The sequence below is a fragment of the Homo sapiens genome, chromosome 17 (genome assembly GCF_000001405.40).
Source record: "Homo sapiens chromosome 17, GRCh38.p14 Primary Assembly".
Taxonomy (NCBI): Eukaryota; Metazoa; Chordata; class Mammalia; order Primates; family Hominidae; genus Homo; species Homo sapiens.
The window spans coordinates 47394406-47414231 of NC_000017.11; the positions used below are offsets into that span (position 1 = coordinate 47394406).

A 19826-nucleotide genomic window follows, 5' to 3' on the forward strand; every position below is an offset into this window, starting at 1 on the left:
ACTTAGGAAAAATGATGCCTTCTAGTGCCTGAGTACTAATATGAGAATTTCTGGTTACATCTGTCCCCATTTCTTTCTATCTTCCAATGTATTCAGTAACATTTATGAACCATTAATATGTACTAGGCTTTATGTTAAGCTGTAAGTGTGGTAATATGGAAAAGATAGTTTTGCCACTCAGAAGTTCACCATAAAGAAGTGTAAGGTCACATGTGTATATTTTTAATGGAGTGAAGTTAGTATGCATTCTAAAAATTGGGGCTGAAAGTAACATCGTATTATTTTGTTCTTACATGTTAGGTAACAGTAGATTTTAAGTAGCAGCTCTTTTTACCTTACAATATAAGATTTAATTTGTCTCCTATATAGGGGTATATCATACAGAGAAAGAGATTGTCAGTTACTTCATTTTTCCTAGGAAATTCACTTTTATGGAGTTTAAAATTTTATTAGCACAGAGTTATATAGTATATTACCTAATCTATCTCTGTCATTGTATTTTATATCTCATTGTTAATATTGCATGTTTATGTTTACTTCTTTTTCTTTTTTCTTCATTAGACTGCTCAAAGCATGTCTTCTTTATTGGTTCCATATACCTCATTGGGACCTTATATCCCTTTACCCCTCCGCTTTCTCCTAATCCATCAGTCTCCTCCTGTTTTCACTTTTCTTCCTTATTTAGTTTAAATTATCTTATCTATATATACCTAATACCCTAGACTGTCTTGCCTCCGTGTACTTTTGTTGCACCTATCTGGCAAAACTCTCAACCCCGAATGAACCCAATTACCTTCCTTCTTGTGTCTGACAGCATTTCTGGAGAAGATCACACAGCTGAGAAGATTGTACAGGTTATAAACAAAATCTTGGTCACTAATATCTGCTGGCTCTTCCTAACTGTCTAATCTTCCTGAGAATCCATTCTCTATATAGCAGCACAGTGACTTTTTACAAATTTGTAGTAAGATAATTGCACTCCTTTGTTTAAGATGCTCCAGGATTTTGCATTGAAATAGTCTTCTTTTTGTTGTCTACAGTGGTAGATTGAAGAGGAAGTAGGAGCCAGAGGAGAATTTTAGGGAGAGATATAGAACAAAAGCTACTTAATTGTATTATCAATTGAAAATGTTTCTGAATTCACACTTTTAAAAATCTAACTTCAATAAAAATTATTATTTATAATGTTTATTCAGGGTTGGGGCACTGTAAGTTCTTAAAATATTTCAAGATCCTCAAAAATACATTATATTTTAGGCTAAATATTTTATTATGTTTTCATTTTTGAAAGTTGGCAATTCATTTATGCTATATTTATTATTCTTTTAAACCATAAAAACCTTAATTTTTGTCTATTCCAGATGACAGTTTACTGTATTAACTTCTTGCATAAGCATTCGTAAAACTTGTGTTTTATCTACCCTTTAGTATTGCCTGATGCTATTGAAACCCTCGACGATCTCAGAAAGGAGACGATGAGTGTTTCTGACCTGTGGAATACTCTGTCTAGTTTGAATAGTAATTTAAAAAAGGATGAATTTCTAGCTGCATTGGAACTAGTGACAGTTGATGGTGAGTGTTACAAATACTAAAATTAAAAAGTATACCAAGATATTACTTTATTTTCTGTCAACTCTTGTCATTGTATCTTGTACTTGGCGAGACGGAGTGTTCGAATATGATTGAAATGCCAACATATGCATTTAGGAAATATTGTATAAAGAAAGTTCAGATTGTTTGGCTATTCAATATAAAAATATTATTATGTAATTTATTATTGCTCTAAATTGATCAAATATGCATTGAGTACCTTCAAGTTGTGTGGTATGTTACTGGAAAATGGCATATCCCAATGAACACAGAGGGCATGATTAGGAAATGTTAAGAGATCTATTCAAATTTTATAATAACAGTACTTGGAATATTCATACTGTTTTGTTGAAATAGGCTTTTATTTAATTTGGTAGAAAAACACACCTGCTGATAGCTACCACCTCTATTTAGCAAGTTAAAAAAAAAAGCAAACAAAATAAAAACAAAGTTCAAAAAAGTATTGTATAACAAAGACTATAGACTAAAAAATGTAAAGTAAGTCTCCATCATTTACTGCTCATATTCTACATGCAGGAAGGAGAGTACCCAGCCTACAGGTAGACATTTCTACTCTCTCATAGTCTTAGTGCCTAGAAGTTAAAAATGTACCTAGTACGTTTATATTCTTTTATGTGGAATGTTTATACAGAACTAGATTAGTAACACGAGCATGCTGTCAGGGGTCTTTGTCAAAGAACTGTCTTTTTCTGTAATCATTTATTATCCTTTTCATCCATTAAGCTTCCATTTAGTTGAGGCTAGAAGTTTTGGGCTTTAAATGTATTGATTATTTTATTGGAAGATTTGAGGTGAAAAGGGTTGATGAAAAATAGAAGGCTAATTTCTACCCAATAATATAGATTTTCTTCCCTTTTTCTCTGTGGCAGTGCTTCAGGTTCTTTTGTTAAAGTTAATGGAATTTATAGGCAACATGTACCACAGAAAGTAATAGATAGCATTTATTTGAACCAGACCAACAAAGTATTATTTTATGAGATATGAAAATAACGTCCCTCTCCCTCTCCCCCTCCCCCTCCCCCTCCCCCTTTCCCTCTCATGCCGAGCCGAAGCTGGACTGTACTGCTGCCATCTCGGCTCACTGCAACCTCCTTGCCTGATTCTCCTGCCTCAGCCTGCCAAGTGCCTGCAATTGCAGGCGCGCGCCGCCACGCCTGACTGGTTTTCGTATTTTTTTGGTGGAGACGGGGTTTCGCTGTGTTGGCCGGGCTGGTCTCCAGCTCCTAGCCGCGAGTGATCCGCCAGCCTCGGCCTCCCGGGGTGCCGGGATTGCAGACGGAGTCTGGTTCACTCAGTGCTCAATGGTGCCCAGGCTGGAGTGCAGTGGCATGATCTCGGCTCGCTACAACCTCCACCTCCCAGCCGCCTGCCTTGGCCTCCCAAAGTGCCGAGATTGCAGCCTCTGCCCGGCCGCCACCCCGTCTGGGAAGTGAGGAGCGTCTCTGCCTGGCCGCCCATCGTCTGGGACGTGAGGAGCCCCTCTGCCTGGCTGCTCAGTCTGGAAAGTGAGGAGCATCTCTGCCCGGCCGCCATCCCATCTAGGAAGTGAGGAGCGCCTCTTCCCGGCCGCCATCCTATCTAGGAAGTGAGGAGCGTCTCTGCCCGGCCGCCCATCGTCTGAGATGTGGGGAGAGCCTCTACCCCGCCGCCCCGCCTGGGATGTGAGGAGCGCCTCTACCCGGCCGCGACCCCATCTGGGAGGTGAGGAGCGTCTCTGCCCGGCCGCCCCGTCTGAGAAGTGAGGAGACCCTCCGCCTGGCAACCGCCCGTCTGAGAAGTGAGGAGCCCCTCCGCCCGGCAGCTGCCCCGTCTGAGAAGTGAAGAGCCCCTCCACCCGGCAGTCACCCCGTCTGGGAAGTGAGGAGCGTCTCCACCCAGCAGCCACCCCATCCGGGAGGGAGGTGGGGGTCAGCCCCCGCTAGGCCAGCCGCCCCGTCCGGGAGGGAGGTGGGGGGGTCAGCCCCCCGCCCGGCCAGCCGCCCCGTCCGGGAGGGAGGTGGGGGGATCAGCCCCTGCCCGGCCAGCCGCTCCGTCCGGGAGGGAGGTTGGGGGGTCAGCCCGCCGCCCGGCCAGCCGCCCCGTCCGGGAGGGAGGTGGGGGGGTCAGCCCCCCCCTGGCCAGCCACCCCGTCTGGGAGGTGAGGGGCGCCTCTGCCCAGCCGCCCCTACTGGGAAGTGAGGAGCCCCTCTGCCCGGCCAGCCGCCCCGTCCGGGAGGGAGGTGGGGGGGTCAGCCCCCCGCCCGGCCAGCCACCCCGCCCGGGAGGTGAGGGGCGCCTCTGCCCGGCCGCCCCTACTGGGAAGTGAGGAGCCCCTCTGCCCGGCCACCACCCCGTCTGGGAGGTGTACCCAACAGCTCATTGAGAACGGGCCATGATGACAATGGCGGTTTTGTGGAATAGAAAGGGGGGAAAGGTGGGGAAAAGATTGAGAAATCGGATGGTTGCCGTGTCTGTGTAGAAAGAGGTAGACATGGGAGACTTTTCATTTTGTTCTGTACTAAGAAAAATTCTTATCCTGTTGATCTGTGACCTTACCCCCAACCCTGTGCTCTCTGAATCATGTGCTGTGTCCACTCAGGGTTAAATGGATTAAGGGCGGTGCAAGATGTGCTTTGTTAAACAGATGCTTGAAGGCAGCATGCTCCTTAAGAGTCATCACCACTCCCTAATCTCAAGTACCCAGGGACACAAACACTGCGGAAGGCCGCAGTGTCCTCTGCCTAGGAAAACCAGAGACCTTTGTTCACTTGTTTATCTGCTGACCTTGCCTCCACTATTGTCCTATGACCGTGCCAAATCCCCCTCTGCGAGAAACACCCAAGAATAATCAATAAAAATAAATAAATAAATAAATAAAATAACTAGAAAAGTATTTTTTATGATAATAAAAACTCATATATTGTGTTTATTATTCTTTCTTTGGAGGGGACAAGGTCTTGCTTTGTCACCCAGGCTGGAGTGCAGTGGCGCAATCTCGGCTCACTGCAACCTCTGCCTCCCGGTTCAAGCGATTCTGCTGCCTCAGCCTCCCAAGTAGCTGGGACTACAGGTGCACAGCACTGTGCCTGGCTAATTTTTTGTAGAGACGGGGTTTTGTCATGTTGTCCAGGCTGGTCTCAAACTCCTGAGTTCAGGTGATCTTCTGGCCTTGGCCTCCCTAAGTGCTGGGATTACAGGCATGAGCTACCGCACCAGGCCTGTGTTTATTATTCTGTACTTATGAAGCAAAAGACAGTATATAAAATGCAGATTTTACAATTTAAGCCTAAATATACACATGATATTGAAAACTGTATCTGTACGCCATTTGTCATATCATTTCTTCTTTTAACATTGTGCACTTAGTACAAAGGTATTTAGTTCTTATTTTAATGCAGTGGTTTGCAAAATTTTGAGATTTGTTATTTTTGTTTATATTTGATATTGTTAAAGCAGAATGCTTTTTTTCCAAATTAAATCTTATACAGTATCCTAATATATAAAATATTAAAGTTGAGCTTCTCTGACCAAAGTGGGAGAAATGACCAAGTGAACTGCTGAAACAGCTCCATAAGACCTTAGAAATATAAGAAAGAACTTAAAATTACTGATCTAGGGTATTATTTTGACCAGGTTATGTTAAAAAGAAAAAAAACCCTGAAAAACAACTGATTCAGATTCTCTCTAGTGAAATTGAAGAGTGAGTTCTTGGTTATTGGTGGTATTCCATGTTGACTCCTTAATATTTTAAAATATATTTAAAATTAAAAAATAATTTTATGATGATTACAAAAAAAGCATTGAAAAATAGAAAAGGTAATTTATCATTTGGCATATTCAGAAATACTTCCCAAATATCTAGTCATGTAGCTTATGAGCTCTCTTGTTTCTTCTGAAAGACCTGAGTGAAGAAAGTTGGTGTTGAGCAAAAATGTGTAAGAGGGTATGGAAAATGGTCAAGGTGAATGTGAGACATTGAATCCATAGGCGAAGAATTAGAGGAAATCATTAATAGGTGTTGTTAGGCATTTAAGGCCTGGGACAATCTCTTCTCTGCTGGTGGTTTCTCTAGCTTTATTTGTTTTAGATTTTTAAACTTAAACTGATATTCTCTGTTTCTCCTGACTCTGATATCTGATGTGTTTGAAATTAGCTTAATAACTTTGTTTTCTTTTCGGCTTGGCAGCAAGACTCTGAACTTATCTTCATGACTTTTTATGCAATATCCATTGAAGCCAGATCTGAATCTTTGTTTCAGGCTCTAACTTTGCAACCTGGCATCAGCTGTGATTAATCCTGTTTTGGTGGTTTAGCAAAGAATAATTGAGCTACAAATTCTTGACAGCAGCTCTATCCATCCACATTTCTTTTCACAGGATTTATTTAAAGATATCCAGGAAATCTTTCCTAATATTGGTAGTTGCTATTCTATTTCAGCAAGTTGTATGAACCTAAGGATCAAATGAGATCACAGGTCATGCTTACAGATTTGGGTCCCTTGGTAAACAGGTCCAAAGCTAGCTGTAGATTTTGTTAGTGTTATCAGTACCTGTTGACGTCAGATGGCTCCCTGCTTCCTTTCTTCCTTTGCCTCCTTGCCTCCTTGCCTCTCTCCCTCCCTTCCCTTCCCTTCCCACTCTCCCTCCCTCCTTTGCTTCCCTCCCTTCTCCTCCCCTCCCCTTCCCTCTCCTTCCCTTCCCTTCCCTTCCCTTCCTTCCAGAATTGTAAGTAGCTGTGATTTAGTTCTACTTGATTATACATACCAAGAACTAGATTCAGAGGGGACTCCATTTAGGTGACTGAATTACAGTACCCGTTGCCTACTTTAAGCTGAGCTTTAAGCTACTGTAAATTGAAGACACTTAATTAAGAGCGTCTTTATATAACATGGTCTTAGAATATTTGATTATGTAACCTTGTTGACTGATGTGAAGCTAGTGGAAGGCCATCCTGAGTATTATAAAAGTATAAAAGAAGCATGAGGAATGGAATGTACAAACACTTCTATCCTTCTCTACCGTTTCTCCCATCAGAGAGAGAACACAGATTCAGGGACAGAGCCTTTACAGTTAGTGATATATAGGACTCTACTAAATGACAGAAGCAGCAAAAATACTGCAAAAAGACATGCGTTTTTACTCTAGAGAATAGTTCCTAAAAGTTCAAGTGTCAATTTAAAGCTAAGGTAGATAGAAGGTGAGACATTGTTAATTGTAGCTATATACTTAAGCCCTGTTCAGGCTTTTATCTGCTGGTGACACATTTTGCTTGTTGTGCTTTGTTCTAGTCTATGATAATAAACTATAATATTTCTAAATCCTAAGCTTCCTTATTCCTGGCTGGGAAAACAAAGCTGCTTCTGTTTCCTGTGTTCATCACTTTAACTTTGTAATCTAGTACTTGTGTACTGTGTAAGAAATGGGTGTAAACACATATCAGAAATTGTAGTCATAGGCCTATCAGGCACTGAAAGACGTCTTTAAAGTTTTCTGGTGTAGAATTTTTATCTTCAAACAATTGAAAGACAAAACTAAGACTGAGGTATGTCTCTTAATTTTGTCTAGGAATATGTCTTGGTTTTATATTTTGGGAATATGGATTATATTGTTTCCATTGATTGATTGAAATTGAGAACTCAGCCTGACTTTTTTTTTTTTTTTTTTTTTTGAGATGGCGTCTCGCTTTGTCGCCCAGGCTGGAGTGCAGTGGTGAGATCTTGGCTCACAGCAACCTCCACCTCCCCAGTTCAAACAATTCTGCTGCCTCAGCCTCCCGAGTAGCTGGGACTACAGGCGCATGCCACCACACCCGGCTAATTTTTGTATTTTTTAGTAGAGATGGGGTTTCACCATATTGGTCAGGATGGTCTTGAACTCCTGACCTCATGGTCCACCCACCTCAGCCTCCCAAAGTGCTGGGATTACAGGCGTGAGCCACCACGCCCAGCCATCAGCCTGACTTCTATAGTCTTAATATTTATTAATCCCATAAAATTAATCCTTTGGTTATTCAAAAATATGAAAAGGAAATATGATTCTTAGGAGTGCATCAAATGGTTTACATTTTTATAGGTTGCTTTATTGGATCTGACTTTTGCGTAATGAGGTTGGTCTATTAAAAGTGTTTTTTCTCACAGAAGGTGACAAAGTACAATTTGAAGAATTTGCAAAAGTAGTAAGGAATATGCGTGATGCTGCCAGGTTAGAAGGTAAGTACTGAATTATTTATAACGGTTAGATTTACTTTTATTGAAAGGACTTGCTTTTGTTTTTGTTTTTAATGCTGTGTGTTCACCTAATTTCTGGTTAACATGTTGGCATTGATATGTTTATACGCAGATGAAACTTGGTTTTGATTAAACATTGGCTGGCATATAGGAACTTGGCTTTCAGAATGTATCCTTCATTACTAACTGATAAAGCTGGTTTACTCTGTCTAGACTATTTGTTAAAGAACTTGGAGGAGCCAAGAGAATAGGCATAGTATGAAGTTCTATGCCTTCTTTCAGTATCTACACATGTAATTTTAAGGGAATATGGTCAGTGTCTGACCTTGCAATTTAAGATTTTAGAGGTGGAATAGACAATTCTAGGTAATGATAAGGATTAAGGGTAGCCATTGGTGTGGATGACTTTGGAAAGGAAATAAAGGCCTTTTGAAGTTAAGAGGTCAAAGTGCTCTGAGGCCAGGCTCATCCTTATTATCATTGGATGATATTGGGATGAGAGGTAGAAGGAGGATTATGATCAAAGTGCCAAAATCCTCAGAGAATGTGAAGGAGTGATCAGACAGTAATCAATACTGTTGTCAGGAGAGTGGCATAGTTGAATAACAGGCCTGAGCCTCATGGGAGAGGGATAAGGTTTGATTGAAGGTGGAACTAAAATGGCCTGATAGCAGCAGCAGAAAGACAGGAAAATGCTATTCTGCTTCCTGGTCTTACAGTATGTGGAGCATGGGAGGATGAGCAGACTCTACTCAAGGTGGTTGTGCAAAGAAACTGTTTTTGAAGGAAATCAAGTGCTAAGGCAAGAAAGCAGAGCTGATACAGGTTTTCTGGGTGTCAGCAAAGCTCAGATTGCCATCTGTAGTTGCATCCCAGTGATGTTAGAGGAATAGAAAGTGAGGCAGGACATAAGACTTAAACTGTGATTACTATTTGCAGCTAGTTTCTGTTGACTTTAATAATAATAATAAAACTAATTTTATTCTATAAATATGACATTTATTGAGGCATTATATGTCTAATGCTATCTTAAGTACTTTTTATACATTGTTATATTTACTCTCCACATCAACCTTGTGAGGCAGATAGTATTATCCCATTTTAGACGAGACATTAAGTAGTAATAATTTGCTCACAGTTGCACAGTTCCAGGTTACAAATCCTGGAGCCAGACTTTGAATGCTGGTCTGACTTAACCAGTGCTGGAAATAAAGCAACATTCCAGACACTAGGGTACAATTGGGTCCTGGTGGAACTGAAAAGGAAAACTGAATGAGCCCTTGTAAATCTTGTCTCATATTTTACGTTTTTCATAATTCTGAAAGTTATTTTGCCTATATCTGATGAGTTAATTTTATTTGATATCATTAGAGGTCCACAGCAAAATAATTACTTTGTATAATTGCAGTGAAAAATTCAGCTATATGAGTGATTTTGGTTGTGCAAATTTTATAAACGCACCAGAGAAACGTGATAGATCAAGAGAACTCTTTGCACATTGTGCTGCTGGCCATAGAATTCTATGAGGGGAGAATTTCTCTCTGAGATTTCTTATTCCTCAGTTCAGGATACAATAATAAACTATGGATTTCCACTAACAAATGTCTTGAGTGATGGCTACTGCTTTTTATTAATTAACTTTTTTTCTATTTATAGAGTTACAGGAAGTTGTCTTAGCTGCTGATTTGCTGGAAGGTGACATGATAGCTGGGAAGAACTTGGAAGACTTTCTAAGAAATGTTGGGATTAAGTCACCTAAAGAAGAGGTAGAGAAAATTCTTCAATCAGATTTTGTTTCTGGTAAGCATTTTAAATATTACTCTCAGGTTTTTTTTTTGTAGGAGTAAAGAAGATGTGCAAGGTCTATAGGTATTTGCTTATGTTACTATAAATGTAATCTTTGAAACGGAGCCTTTCCTCTTAATTTCCTCTTTTGCAGTTATGAGAATACTTCTATACAAGCGGGTCTAGATTTTGTGGAAGTGGGCTTGTTAGAATGCTCTGTCCTCATTGCTATCTTGATTTAGCGAATGAAAAACATCTTAGGAATTCAAGTTCTGTGAATAGAAATCCTAGCTTTGCCACCTTTGACCAAATTACTGGTCAGAGTTACTGGGGCTTTCTTTGTACTTCAGTTCCCATTATAGGTAGAATCAGAACTTAGTATACCTACAACATTGTAGGGTTATTGCGAGGCTTAATGGATGAAAATGAATCTAAAAGTACCTTGTAAATAAAATGTTCGAGAAATATATAAGTCATATGCTGATTTTGATACTAGCCTTTAAGTATTACTTTGTCTAGGGGTTCTTGTTTGTCATCTCTCTCTTTTCCTTGCAGAAGATAACATGGTGAACATTAAAGACTGTATGAGGGCTTTGAGGGACACCCAGAAATTTTCCAATTATATTGGTAAGAGCTTTATGGTAATACTGTTAGAAGGCAATGATACAGAACTTATTCAAAGTTCACCTAGTAAAACCCTAAATTTGGTGTTTAAATCTTCTTTATAGTATCTGTGCCAAATGTTTGCTTCATGTGTACTTGAACACTTTCAGTTATGGGGAACTTCCTACATTTTATTTTGAAATTTAAGAATTGTACATTTGTGATTGGAGATGGGAAAAATAACAAGAGTATGATCTTTTCCAATAGTTAAAATAAGACATCTTTATTATATGAATGAATAGTTCTTTTTAATGCTGTAAAAAACTTAAATGACCAGGAATGTAAGAAGTATAAAGTGCAAGTCTCTTGTAACATTAATGTTACCCTTCAGAAATATCCCTATGAAGCTTTGGTAAATATCCTTTTAGGCTTTCTTCTTTACATCTGTCCATAATATTGCACAACTTGAGTGCAATATATGACAGTATATCTTAGATATAATTCTGTGTTCCACTATATTATGTAAACCTACCTCATTCTTTTAAAAGACTGCATAATGTTATACTAGAGGAATGAACTATAATTTTGTCCACAATACTTTTAATAAATATTTAGGTTATTGCCATTTTTTTACTATTACAAACATTTGGTGAGTATCCTTGTACATATATCTTTGTGCACGTTGCACACAATTTTTCTGTAGGGCAAATTCCTTAGAAGTGGACTTGCTGGGCCAAAGTATTTTTAGATGTAAAATGTTAACAAGCTACTGCCTAATTACCCTCCTAAAGATTTGTGGAAATTCACACTTTTATCAACAGGGGGTATTATTTATTTAAAATTCTGATAGGAGCATTAATACTTTGTCTTACCCATTTCACATTTTTTTCTAGTTTATTTTTGATTTTTTGACTTTGATGGATTGCTTTTTGCCATCTTTTGTTTCATTTTGTCAGTTTGGTAATTTGATTCTTCCAGGAAATTTTAAATTGTATTGAGGTTAAAATGACTTAGACTATTAGGACAGCCCTATGCACTTCTAATTCTTTTCATTTTTTTGTATATATGGTTATTTCTCATTCTTAAATTTATATATATAGGTATATATATAACTTTTTTCTTTGCTACTGAATGTTCTATTATCTCTGTTTTTAAAGTACTAGCTCTTGGGTTTATCTTTAGCGTTTCTATTTATAGTTTAAAAATTAATTTCTGATTTTACCTTTAGTAAGTCCTTTATATTGTTCCCTTATACTCATTTAATAGTTTTTCTAATTTCTTGTTTAAATTATTTATTTACTTTATTTTTTTTCTTACTGGGTAATAAACATGTTTAAGGCAGTCAATTTTCATTTTAGTGAAACTTTGGTGTATCTAACAGTCTTTGACTTGTTAGGCTATTATTATGGTTATTTTATAAATATTTCCAGTTGCATTTTGATTTTCTCCTTGGTCTGAGAGTTATTTAGGAGGAAACTTTAAATTTCAAAGCAATTTATTTATTTATTTAATTTATTTATTGAGACGGAGTCTCATTCTGTCGCCTCGGCTGGAGTGCAGTGGAGCAATCTTGGCTCACTGCAACCTCTGCCTCCCGGTTTCAAGCGATTCTCCTGCCTCAGCCTCTTGAGTAGCTGGGATTCAGGTGCACACCACCATGCCTGGCTAATTTTTGTATTTTTAGTAGAGACAGTGTTTCACCATGTTGGTCATGCTGGTCTCGAACTCCTGCCTTGTGATCTGCCCGCCTCGGCCTCCCAAAGTGCTGGGATTACAGGCATGAACCACGCCCGGCCAAATTTCAAAGCAATTTAAATGTCATTGTTGCCTTAAGTTTGTTTTTTATATCTAGTTGTATTTTATTGTGGTCAGAGAATGAGGTCTGTAATAGACGGTTTGATAGTTCCCTAGTTCATTAGAGACAGAATTCCCTCAACTTTTATATTTACTATTTAACAATCAAAATAAAATTAGTTGGTTGCAGGGATACGCTAGGTAAGGTACATTCACTCATTTCACTCTTTGTCTTGGAAGTCCTTATGACTTTTTGAAGTAGCTCATTCTATAATTTTCGACAGCTATAGAACTAGAACATTATTCCACATATTTGGTGGAAATTTCCTGGAACCATATTTGACATTTGGACTCTTCCTCCCATTAATAGCCTTCCAGAAATGTCAAGATAACTCACATGTTCTCTTTCCTTCCCACTAAATGAATCTTCTCTCTAGACTCAAATATCCCTTCAACTCTTCTTCACTGACCTGTTTTTGAAACTTCTTACCAATGACAAATGACTATATCATAGAACAAAATCCTGAGAGATGCCTTTTTAGGAATATACTTTGGAAATGTGAACTTTTAACATTTTTTTAAATCAAGGGAGGTCAGCCATGGTCTTCTTAGTCCAAATGTTTGTGACTGTGCTAAACATAAGAGGCTGTGATGATTCTCTAAAATGGGTGAAGTTAGCTGACAGGAACAAGGGATGCAGGGAAGGAAAGAGAAAAATTGGCATTTAGGAGGAGTTATGAGGAATGAAGGGGACTTTACTGAAATGGTGCGCTTATTAACAGAATAACTAGGGAAACTTTAGCATACTTTTGTCTGTAGCAGAATAGCTCACCTCAAACCCAGACATTTAACAAATCAATTTTAAGAATAAAGAAAAGGGTTATTTTTAACTATTAGAGCTACAAATAGAAAGCTATTGGAGTGGAGAAAACTATTGAAGTAGAGTTATAGAAAATTATCAGAGTGGAGAATGGACCACTCTAAATATTTAAATGGCCACATGTGACTGGTGACTGCCTTATTCGACAGTGTAGATCTCAAAGAGGCCATCAATTTTATTGTTATGCTCAAAAGACTTAGATCCATGGACTGAATTACATGTTGTATGTATATTCTCTGTTTGTAGCATTGAATGAGACTATCAATACATTGGACTCCACGAAAGAAAATTGTCAGTTTGACAAAGACAAAAATCCAGATGTACTTGAAAACACTGATAGGCTTTCTTTTACTGATGACATACTTCAAGAAGTAATGGATGACTCCTTTGTTGAAGATGAGTTGATTTGACAGACAACCAGCAGCTTGTATAAAAAATTTCTTCTGAATTTTATTTAGTTTTTTGTTTTTTGTTTGTTTTTTGTTTTTTAATTTAGGGAGGTCAGCCATGGGCTTTCTGGTCCAAATGTTTGATATTACTGTTCTTCTAAATTTTTATCCAAGGATTTCAAACTATTTTACCAAGTATTATTTAAGTCTTAATACTTGGCCCCTAAATCACACCATAAACTTGTTGGACACTTTACTGTAGACCATATTCAGGTCTATGTGTTATATGTGCCCACAGAGATTTAGTCATTACAGTATCAAATTTCTGGGTGATCTGATGACCTGGATTGTAAAATTGATCTCAGAGTATTTATATATTTGTGGCATGGCTTTGAAGAATAATTTTATTTCAAAGTTAATCCTTTTCCTTTTATGTGTTTTAGAGAGGTCTTAATGGTTTTGTAGCTTTCTGTTTTTGGATGAAAGGCCCTTTGAGAAGTGCAAGGTATTGTTGAAAAATTAATGTTTATTTCTATAGCCAGTTGTAAGTGTCGAGTTGTTGTTTACTTTATTTACAAAGAATTTACCTGATCCATCTATATAGCCTCAGCTTGGATGTACTGAGATAGAGTTTACCCCATATTTAGAAAGCCATTTCCTGCCTTTAAATTTAGCTTCAGCTGAAAAATGTAATCAGGCTGGGGGAAGTGGCTCATACCTATACTCTTAGCACTTTGGGAGGCCAAGGCGGGCAGATCACCTGAGGTCAGGAGTTTGAGAGCAATCTGACCAACATGGTGAAATCCCGTCTCTACTAAAAAAATACAAAAATTAGCCTGGCATGGTGGCCCATGCCTGTAGTTGCAGCTACTTGGGAGGCTGAGGCACGAGAATGCTTGAACCCAGGGGGCAGAGGTTACAGTGAGCCAAGATCACGTCATTGCACTCCAGTCGGGGCGACAGAACAAGACTCCATCTCAAGTAAATAAATAAATACAAAATAAAAAGTATAATCAAATCCCCCATTGCCCCCCACCTCACACCAGAGAATATTTGGCAATATCTAGAGACAGTGTTGGTTATCACAACTGATGGGAGAGGACTACTGGCATCTAGTGAATAGAGGCAAGGGTTGCTGCTAAACATCCTACAATTTACAGGATAATACCCTTGCCCCCCCCAATAATTATCTGGCCAAAAATATTAATAGTGCCTAGGTTCAGCAATCCTGTTTAGAGTTATCATGTAAAATTGCCCAAACCTATTATTTTGAAAGTACTTTTTATAGGTTATTTGTTTTGTTTATCCTGCTTAAAACAAAAATACAAATTAAGGCAAATATAATTTATGTGTATTCTAACCTCTGTTTGTTTCAGGGTAATACCTGGGCTAGCTGTGAGTTATTCTAAACTGTTCTTTAATACAATAGAGTCCATCTATGCAAATGGACAGATTTTATTTCTATCGTTTGTTCCTCAGATCTCTACACCAACTTGCATCTCTGTAGGAAGTATGTGGAGTGAATGGGTATAATGTAATACCCATTCATTAATTACATTTAATTAAGTAATGGGTATAATGTTCTTAGGAAAAATTCTGGGACTAGATAGTATATAGGTAGGTAAGAGATCAAGAAGGACAATTTAGACTAATAATTAAGGATTTTATTGAATAGACCGGCTGGGGATTAACTTCTCCCCTTAGGGAGAAAGGAAGCATCTGTGACATTAGAAACTGCCACATTTAAGGAGTTGGTGGAAGATAACCATGAAGGAGCCCAAGTAGTAAGCAAAGAGTGAGGAGAGAATGGATATTTTGGGAGCCAGGGAACAACTTTTGAGAAGAAGGGAATGGTTATCAATGATAAATGTTAGTGGGAAAAGAAGTATTCAATCTATCCATTGGTTTCCTTTCAAACAGGGTAAGATCAGGATGCCATTCCTCATTGTGTAATGTCTCTCTCTAAATTTGCAGATTTCAGGAAAGAGGCTTCAAATCTAAAATTACCAAAGGTAAACGGTGAGTAAGAACTTTGTATATGAGAAAATTTTCAATAATAAGAGATATTTTTTAGAATAATTGCCAAGTACCAATGTATTTCTCATTTTTCCTGCTGACTTCAGCCAGATTACTATTTTTCCACAATAGTAATCTGATCATGTTACCTCCCCCTATTTATAACTCTTCAAACATTTCCTGTTATTAGGATAAAAATTAAAATCCTCCATGCCCTATCTTTCTAGCGTTATTTTGTACCATTATCCTTGCTTTCTGTACTTCAACTAAATTGGCTTTACTTTAGTTCCTTAGATACTCCCCTTTCCTCCCACTACAAGACTTTTGCATATTCTATTCCCTGGAATATTCTTCCCTGATCCTCTTTGCCTACTGTTGTAGTCTGTTTTGTGTTGCTGTAACAGAATACCACAGACTGGATAATTTGTATAAAAAAAAAAAAGAGATTCATTTCTTACAATTCTAGAGGCTGGGAAATCCAAGGTCAAGAGGCCCACATCTAGTGAGGGCCTTATTGCTGTGTCATACTATGGCAGAAGGCAGAAGGGCAAGAAAGTTTGAGAGAGCAAGAGAGCAAGAGGAGACTGAACTTACTTTCATAATAAGCCCACTCTTGCAATAACTAAATCACTGACATTAATCTATTCATGAGGGCAGAGCCTTTGTGACTTAATCACCTCTTATTAGGCCTGACCTGTCAACACTGTTGCATTGGGGATTAAGTTTTCAGCACATAAACTTTGGGGGACACAATCAAACCATAGCATTCCATCCCTGGCCCTCAAAATTCATGCCCTTTTCATGTACAAAATACATTCATTCCATCTTGGTAGCCCCAAAACTCTTAACTTGTTCCCGTGCCAACTCAAAAGTCCAAATTCCAGAGTCTCATCTTAATCAGATGGGTGAGACTCAAGGTACAATTCTTCTTGAGGCAAATTCTCCTCCAGCAGTAAGTCTGTGAAGTTAGCAAGTTACATGCTTCCAAAACACACAGGCATAGGATAGACATATCCATTCCAAGAGGGAGAAATGAGTGAGAAGAAAGGGATAATTGGTCCCAAGTAAGTCCGAAACCAAAAAGGGAAAACAACATTAAGTCTGAAAGCTGGAGAATAATCTCTTTTGACTCCATGAGTCAATTATAGAAAAGCCTATCATCAGTGGCTAGTATAGGTCAGAATTTTTTGTTTCCTTTGTTATATGCTGTTATTAAATTCTGTCCATTTCATAGCACTTATTTCATATTATAAATATCCGTTTCTGTTTTCGATTATTTGATTAATATCTCTTCCTCCCACTTGCCTGGTATCATTGGGCCAAGGAATATGTCTCCTCTTTGCTTTCCATTGTATCTCCAGGACCTAGCAGAGTCCTGGCTCTTTAATTAGACTCTTAAGGTTAACTAATATTAACATCTGATACTTATGTAATATTTACTATGCTATTGTTCCAAATCTTTTGTTGTTAACTCATAATCATGAATATTTTTTGAATGAATGACTGAATAGATTTGTCTTCTTATCTCTTCAGACTCACCGTTTATCATTTCTGCATTTGTATTTATTCTGTAGTCATACTACTTAGCACAATTTAAATTGGCTCTATTTGCTTTTGCATTTATTTGCATATACTGTTTCCTTTGGATACATTCCCTGACAGACAAACTGACATTTCCCCCCCAAACTCAGTTCAAATGTCATTTCTGATGCCATAAGACTTCCTTCCCAGAGTTCATCACTTTTTAAATCTAGGTTAGGTGAACCTTCTCAGTGCTTCCATAATTTTGTGTGTGTATTTTTCTCATATCACTTACTATATGATATATTATAATTTTGTTTATAGATATGACAGATTTAGTCTCCCTTATCAAGGAATTTACTTGAAACTCTTTGATACGAGGGACTGAATATTTTATTGTTGATCTTAGAAGCTGTAAAATAACTGTTAGTAGAATGAATGTAGGTCTAAGATGATATTATGGTGTTCTTTCCAAGTGATCTCCATGAAGGCTTAGATCTCCTGGTGTAATGCAACAATTTTCAGCATATGGAAACATAGACAACTTCATGTGGAGGTTGAGGGAGAAATTGATTGAGAAATGGTACAGATGAAAAATTAGGCTGGGTTTGGTGTCTGATGCCTGTAATCTCAGCACTTTGGGAGGCTGACGCCGGTGGATCACTTGAGCTCAGGAGTTCGAGACCAGTCTGGCCAACATGGCGAAACCCCGTCTCTACTAAAAATATTTAAAAAATTAGCCATGTATGGTGGCACATGCCTGTAATCCCAGCTACTTGGGAGGCTGAGGCAGGAGAATGGCATGAACCAGGAAGCAGAGTTTGCAGTGAGCTGAGATGGCACCACTGCACTCCAGCCTGGGTGACAGAGTGAGACTCCATCTCAAAAACAAAAACAAACAGACAAAAACCAGAAAAATTAAAAAGCACATAATGATTATGTTTTATATTTTAAATTGGTGTGAGATCAACAGGACTGCCCCGTTTGGTTATGTGAGTTGTGCTTTGCACAAAGGTGCCTGTTGAGAGAGCATAAGTGGAGGCTGAAATGCAGTTCATACTCCAAGCCTTGAACCTCTGTGCTGGATTGCAGTTGCCTAGTGAAAGGTACCCTTTTTTGTAACTAATGCATAGAGAGGAGGTGCCTTTTCCCAATTCACACAAAAGCACAGTATGAACTATCTGAGGCCCTGGGGATCAAGAGCTTCAATCTCAAATTTTAGCCTTTGTTTACATCATCAGGTGGTAGAAATCTTTAGATCTACATGTACAGGGAGGCATGTAGCTCATTCAGTTTTTAATGGATGAATGAATGAAGACAAAGTCTTATTATAATACATGTCAATAGCCCATCATATTATTCTCTTTGCCATAATGTTTTTTAGTTTCAAGTGCTGCTTGAGGGAAGTGGGCCATCAGTTACAAATAGAAAATATTGTGTTTCCTTTGGAGAGATTTTGATTCAGATAAATATTTAATTTGAGGTTTACCTATGGTAGATTTTGGACAAATTATTTTGAATGTTTTTTACACCATAATAGCTTGTGTACATTTATCTTTGTAGAGATTAAAGAAGCTGCTAACATCTTGTCACATGTCGATAATGGCAAGATTGGTATACCTGATTTGGAGCATGCCTTGAAATGTTTGAATGTTAATTTAACTGAGGAGGACTTCAATGAAGCCCTTAACTGTTGTAACGTCAGTGGTGAGCATTTTTTTGGCCTGAGATTCTTTTCATTTTTTTTCTACTTATGAAAAATAGTCTTAGAGTGTACCTATAAGGATAAGATGCTAATGGGAGTCATTTTTCTTTTGGAGGCTTAGGTTGATACAAATTAGAGCCAAACCACTCTACTAATTTAAATATTTATTGAACATATCTATTCATACTCATATGGATACTATATGTGCTTATTTAATTACCATTCATTACTTATAAGCATGGGTGGAAAAATACCATAAATTGTATAATAAAAACATGACAACAGCAGCTTATTTTGATATGCAATCTTTTTCAGAGGAGATCTGCTTTCATTTTTTTTTTACAGTACTTGCTCCATTTTGATTTTTAACCAAATAAAATGTGGGAGGGCTCACTACATTTAAAAATAAGTTATTTAGTTTTAGTGATTGTTTTCAAGTAGTCCATATTTACCTTTGTTTTCTGTCTTTGACTTCATGTAATATGTACTTGATCTCCTTTCCTATACACATTTACTTTTAGGAAGTCAAATCATTTGAGAGTACTTCTAGAAGCTGCTGAGTTCTGTTGGTTTTTGGCGAACTTTTATTTTGGGCTTATCTTAACCAATTTGTGTCTGGGAATCCTGTGAGTCCTAGGTTTAAGAATACCTCTCCAGTACAGTTTAGTTATTGATTTTGCCAGGTTCCCCAGATTGTTATTCACCTAGATCAATTTTTATGTTTTGATCTCAGTTTTCTCACATCATCAGAGTGGTATAAATTTAGACTTCACACCCACATGAGATGCATGCTGGGCCTTCAATTTCTCACAAGAGATTTTTTTTTTCCACTGTCTTTCAGAATTGGGAAGATTTAGGCCTCCTTGTTTATTTGAGTCAATAAATATAGTATTTTAATTTCTTTTTTAAAAAACCAGGATTGAAACCCTTTAAGCATTTCAGTTTTATTTGATATCTAAGTTCCTAACCTTATTTTTATGGGCTCGAATCTTTTTTTCTGACTCTGTATGAACATTTAAATCAAGCACCTAGCCATTTCTGGGTCTCATCTCTATCCCAAAGATAGTTTTGGTGTTAGTACTCAATGCTTAGCATTCTGGACCTCAGTTCCCAGTTAACTTTTTGTTATTTCCTTCATATGACTCAGTCACACATCCATGGAATGTTATATGTCATAGAGCATCTCTAGGGGTTTGTAGTGGGATGGTTTCTGTGCTACCCAGGTCTGCCATTTTGTTTAAACTCAAAGTCTCCTTAATATAATTATAGCCCTAGATTGTCTGCTGTGTCACATTATTGCACCTTACTTCACTTGTG

The 19826-nt window shown here is 38.0% G+C and overlaps 1 protein-coding gene across 6 annotated transcripts in view, besides 2 other annotated features; it reads left to right on the forward strand.

The window, feature by feature from the left end:
* Positions 1-19826, forward strand: part of EFCAB13 (EF-hand calcium binding domain 13) — a 117358-nt gene that overhangs the window by 70451 nt on the left and 27081 nt on the right. For all 6 annotated transcript variants that reach the window (NM_152347.5, NM_001426587.1, NM_001426586.1 and 3 more), the window contains 6 exons: positions 1429-1572; positions 7727-7798; positions 9473-9616; positions 10157-10228; positions 15242-15286; positions 18368-18511. In NM_152347.5, the coding sequence (NP_689560.3) occupies positions 1429-1572; positions 7727-7798; positions 9473-9616; positions 10157-10228; positions 15242-15286; positions 18368-18511 (621 nt within the window). The remainder of the gene's footprint in view (positions 1-1428; positions 1573-7726; positions 7799-9472; positions 9617-10156; positions 10229-15241; positions 15287-18367; positions 18512-19826) is intronic.
* Positions 6765-6965: a silencer, noted in NCBI's record as "peak2872 fragment used in MPRA reporter construct". NCBI's record gives its function as "represses an SCP1 promoter by STARR-seq MPRAs in K562 erythroleukemia cells {active_cell/tissue: K562}" and the evidence as "EXISTENCE:reporter gene assay evidence [ECO:0000049][PMID:32103011]".
* Positions 15665-15865: a silencer, noted in NCBI's record as "peak2873 fragment used in MPRA reporter construct". NCBI's record gives its function as "represses an SCP1 promoter by STARR-seq MPRAs in K562 erythroleukemia cells {active_cell/tissue: K562}" and the evidence as "EXISTENCE:reporter gene assay evidence [ECO:0000049][PMID:32103011]".